The sequence below is a fragment of the Homo sapiens genome, chromosome 3 (genome assembly GCF_000001405.40).
Source record: "Homo sapiens chromosome 3, GRCh38.p14 Primary Assembly".
NCBI classification, from domain to species: Eukaryota; Metazoa; Chordata; class Mammalia; order Primates; family Hominidae; genus Homo; species Homo sapiens.
In genome coordinates this window covers 80,790,383-80,796,382 of record NC_000003.12, presented here as the reverse complement: position 1 = coordinate 80,796,382, position 6,000 = coordinate 80,790,383, and positions in this window count along the sequence as shown.

Genomic DNA, 6,000 nt, shown 5'->3' with positions numbered 1-6,000 from the left:
AATTCTCATTGTAAGAATATACTCTGACATTTTTCCACTAACAGAAACATTACCCATATTCAATATTTTCTCCATTAGAAACCTCATTCATATTGAATGTAATTTCCTCCATTAATCTTTTCCTTATGCTCATGTAAAATTATTCTGTTTTTGTTTTTAGTGCTTGTGTTATACTTTGCATGGCTAATAAGCATTTAACATATTTTTATGCTATTGTAACATACTATGCATGTCAGATTCTCTCACTTGACTATTAGCTTTTTGAGGCTATAAACCATTTTTATTGTAATTCACAGCAATATACACAGTGCTCTTTATATAGTTGGACATTATAAAAATAGTTGTTAAAATAACATATTTCCCAAATTACTAGTTAAGCTACTTCAAGAGAGGCACTGCATGTTATTCTTATTCAACAGAAAGTGAATAAATATTAAATAAATTTTTCCAGAAAATGTCAAGATATCGAGTCAAAATTTAGCAGTGAATGTTTCTGTAAACAAAAATTGAAAATTAAATTTTTTAACCAACAAAAATGTCTATAGAAACATGTAGAACAAAGAAAAGTACACTTTTCTAAAATGGCAGGCCAAGACAGAGAAAAGCTCTGAATCCTTGAAGAAAGACGGTCCTGAAAGTCTAATGTCAACAAAAGGCTTTAAGGTAGAAATGAGAGTTGAGATAATAGAAAGACTTTGGCATGATTCCCTGGATTACGTTCTTGTCATGTAAACGGAGACTGGCCTGAGAGGCACACACCAAATGTCCTTATAGACTACCCTTCTCCCGTCCGCTAGTTGAGCTAGTTTACACCTGCTGAGATGTCATTAAAAACAAGATGTAAACATCTACCATGAATCATAGCTAGTTGTGGTATCCCTAAAAAACTCAAAACTTCTAGTACACTGCATTTAACAGATGCCTAATAAGTATTTATTGGATAGTGAATATAAACAGTGGAAAGACCTAATAAGAAATATGAAAAATAATGCTATCATATCTATGACAAAAGATCTCTATTCAAGTTAGGGTGTGGGGAAACAATGATATTATTTCAAGACAGGAAAGATAAAAAATATTGATGAACAGTTTTAAATTAACATTTACATTAACAATAAAAAGACAGGGAGTAAATCAGTAAAATAAACATTTTTCATATCATTGAAAGAAGGATATTTTACCATTAGGTTGATTTGCTTTTTAAACTAGTAGATAACGCTAGTTTCTTTATTTTTGACATACCAAGTTATTGACGAATGACAATTTTCACCCTCCTTTTTCTATTCAAAGCAAAAAGATTCATTTATAATTTATACAGTTATGTTCATGTGAATGTGAGATAGAGATATAGCTGCTTTCATTAAATAATAATGCTTCAAATTGCTTCATATTTTTCTTCCAAAAAATTCAAACTGTTTGACAATTGCTATATCATTATCCTTTTCCAGATGACTCTTTCTTTTTTTCTTTAACATTACTTTACCGTGGAAATATGCTAAGGCACAAAAATGCTTCATAGAGTATAAATTAATAGAGACAAAAGAAGAGAGAGGTTAAATTATTTGTTCTAAATCACATATATAATTAGAAATAAAGCTTGATACATGCTGTATTTTTTGCTTGTGTTTAGGAATGTTATTCTTAATGCATACAGTTAATGCTGAAGTTATACTCTGTCAATTGTTACTGTGCTGCAGATCTTTTGTCTCTCTTTTGAACTCTGATCAATGGAATTAAAAGATTTCATGACAACTTGTCCCACTGAAAGCAAAAGTTTTTATAGTGGTAAGATAAGAAAATGGCATAAGTTCTATCAGCACCTCTAAACCTTAGCTTGCAATGGTGTAAATTACGACCCAGATATAAATACTGAGAAATTAAAGATGATACAAGAAGAAATATGCTATTCAAGTACTCTATTGATCACCTAATTATATTTTTAAAGCTATTACCTTTATTCTTGTTGCAAGGTCAACATGGAGACACCTCTTAGACCTAGATATTTTTTATTTCTCAAAGAAAAAACGAAGATAATTTAAAATATGGGGCCTGGAATCTTTGGAATTACTTCAAATTGTTGTAAAAACCAAAATTTTCAAGTAACTATTGAATTTTCATGAATATCTAATTAAACTAATTATTAAAATTCACCTTGAGTCATTTTGACTAGTACATTTATTACTCTTAGAACCACTCAAATGGGAAGGACAGTGTACAATATTGTGTTACTCAGGTCTGACCACAATTTTTTATTTGTATAAATTTATGGGATACAAGTACAATTTTGTTACATGTATATATTACATAGAGGTGAAGTCAGGGCTTTTAAGGTTTCCATTACCTCAATAATATACACTGTACCCATTAAGTAATTTCTCATCATCTACTCCCCTTCTAGGCCCTCACCCTTCCAAGTCTCCACTGTCTATCACTTCACACTCTACATCTATGCATACACACAATTTAGCTCCCACTTATGAGTGAGAGCATGTCTTTCTGTGTCTGACTGGTTTCATTTAAGATAATGGCACCAGTTTCACCCATGTTGCTGCAAAAATATGATTTCATTCTTTTTCATGGCTGAATAGTATTCCATTGCATATATATGCAATATATAAATATATATGCAATGGAATATTATATATATTTCATATATATGCAATGGAATACTATTCAGCTGTGAAAAAGAATAAAATTATATATGTGAATATAAATATATATATAAAACGTTTAATATTACATTTTAAAATCCAGTCATCTGTTGACAGACACTTAGATTGAGTCCATATCTTTGCCATTGTGATTAGTGCTGCAATAAGCATACAAGTGTAGGTATCTTTTTGATATAATGATTTCGTTTCCTTTGAGTGGATACACAGTATTGACAGACAGAAATGCCTAGATTGAACGTTAATTCTACAGTTAGCTCTCTGAGAAATTTCCATACTGTTTCCCATAGAGGTTGTACTAATTTGCATTCACATCCACAAGAGCAGAAGTGTTCTATTTTCTTTTGTTGTTGTTGTTGCTAAGACAGAGCCTCACTCTGTGGCCCAGATGCAATCTTGGCTCACTGCAACTTCTGCCTCCCGGGTTCAAGCAATTCTCCTGCCTCAGCCTCCTGAGTACCTGGGATTACAGGTGCACGCCACCACACCCAGCTACTTTTTGTATTTTTAATAGGGACAGGGTTTCACCATGTTCGTCAGACTGGTCTTGAACTCCTGACCTTGTGATCTGCCTGCCTCAGCCTCCCAAAGTGTTGGGATTACAAGCATGAGCCACTGCTCCCGGCCAAGTGTTCTATTTTCTTTGCATCCTTGCCAACAACTTTTTTTTTTTTTGTCTTTTAACATTGGCCTTTCTGACAGGTGTCAGAAGGTATTTCATAGTGGTTTTAATTTGCATTTCTCTGATGATTAGTAATGTTGAGAATTTATTCATATGCCTTTTGGCCATTTCTTATGTTTTATTTTGAAAAATGTCTGTCTCAAGTACTCACGAGGCTGAGGCAAGAGGATCACTTGAGCCCAGGAGTTCTTGGCTATTTTGTGCTAAGCCTGTAGGTGTTTGCACTAAGTTCAGAATCAATATGGTGACTTCCTGGGAGTGAACACCACCAGCTTGCCTAAGGAGGGCTGAACCAGTCCATGTTGGAAACAATTTTTTTGTGTGTTATCCCTGTCTTATTTTCTCTAAATGTTTAAAAGTATAGAAGTTTTAGTGTACGTTATAGTGAAAATAACACGAAAATGGTAGCATGATGTGCTGGAAAAGCAAACACGGAAGTCTAAAGTTAAGTCATGTTGCTAAGACTCATTAACTGTATGCTTCTTTGCAAGTTACTTAACTTCCCTGAATCACCCTTATTCCATTGATAATGTGGGAATAACAATTACTGCCTTATTTATCACATTGTGTATGTGAAAATTAAATAATATATCAGATACGAAAACATTTTAAAATTATAAATTCACATTAGAATGTTACCTATTATAAAAATAGTTCACTCAGGCTTATCTGGTTTACGGATCAAAATAGAAAAAAAAAAGACTGGCCTTTATTATAAATTTACCAATGAAGCTAATGCAGATATTAGTTCTTAGTCACAGAGAATTAATATCTGAATTTTCAACCTTTGTTGTTGTTAAGTGTGAAGAATCCCACAATAATTTTGAGATTTTTCACAAGGTCACAGAGAAAATTATTTGGGGAATTATCTTTAGATTCTGGGTGTTGTGATTTGCAATTTCTCTATTTTTCAACTACATGTTTGTCACTACTTATGTCATATTTTCTTTTTTATCATTGTTATATTTTTATTTTTCAATTAATAATAACTTTAAAATGAAAGATTTCATAAGGCATTCCTCACCAGTCAGATAACTAATAATGTTCAACATAAATTGTAAATCAATTTGATTGTCCTGTAAATCTTATTTTCATGCCCCTTTTTCCATTGATGGGGCCAGATAATTTTTTTAATAAATTAGTATATATAAAATTATTTTAAGCAACCATAGTCTACTAAAGGTAATCATTCATCATTATAATTTTCTTGTCACTAATAAAAATCAAATAAATATCATGAGTATGTAAATAAAATATTACTTCAAAATATTGCACAGACCTATTATTAGGTGTTGTATTCATGCATGAGAAATGTATTCTTTTAAGTCATTGCTGTTTTGTTGGTGTTTAAATGCCACCTCCCACCCTAGTACAATGTAAGTCTTGATGTAAATTGAGAAACAGTTACTTAACTAGCACACATTAGAAAATATTAATTGGCAATTAGGTAAGGGAGTCAAAACACTGGAGAAGAAATGGATAAATAGGGACTTATGGAAGAGCTCTGGGACCAAGAGCAGGGCAGGAAAACTTAATAAAATGATAGACTTGATTAAGAAAATGTGGCACATATACACCATGGAATACTATGCATCCATAAAAAATGATGAGTTCATGTCCTTTGTAGGGACATGGATGAAGCTGGAAACCATCATTCTCAGCAAACTATCGCTTAAGGACAAAAAACCAAACACCGCATGTTCTCACTCACAGGTGGGAATTGAACAATGAGAACACATCGACACAGGAAGGGGAACATCACACACTGGGGCCTGTTGTGGGGTGTGGGGAGTGGGGAGGGATAGCATTAGGAGATACCTAATGTTAAATGAAGAGTTAATGGGTGCAGCACACCAACATGGCACATGCATACATATGTAACAAACCTGCACGTTGTGCACATATACCCTAAAACTTAAAGTATAATAATAAAAGAAATTTTATCACTTGCTTCAGCATATTTCTATTCTGGCTAATAATAAAATAGCCAAAATATATATAGTGCTATGTGCTACATATTGCGCTAAGCTCTCTCCTCTCTCTCTGTCTCTCTCTCTCTATATATATACATATATGGAAGGTGTATATACATATACACCTTCCATATTGCTGTAGGTGTTTATATGTATAATATATTAATTGTATAATACTATTATAATGTGTACTATTATACCATTATAATGTGTACTACTATAATGTATATGTTACTGTTGAGGAAACAGAAGTCATTAAATTTAAGTAGGTTGCTCAAGATTGCATGATTATTATATAGCACAATTGGATTTTGAACTCAGGAAGTATAGCTCTAAAATTTGTTCTATCAACAAATAGAATACAGTTTCTCCACATTATATTTAATATGTGGAAGGCAGAATTAGACAGAATTCTAAGATGGCCCTAGATATTCCTGCCCTTTCTTATACATGCCTTGGAAAATTCTGTTTCCTGGTGAATGTGGTGGAATATCACTCCCATAATTAGACTATTAATAAGTTGACTTTGAGTCAATCAAAAGAGAAATTATATGGGTGTCACTAACCTAATCAGGTGAGCCCTTAAATGGGACTGAGCCCTTACTGAAACCAGGCAGATTCCACAGTAGGAACATTCTCCATTGCTGGGTTTGAAGATGAGGAGTCCATGTGTTAA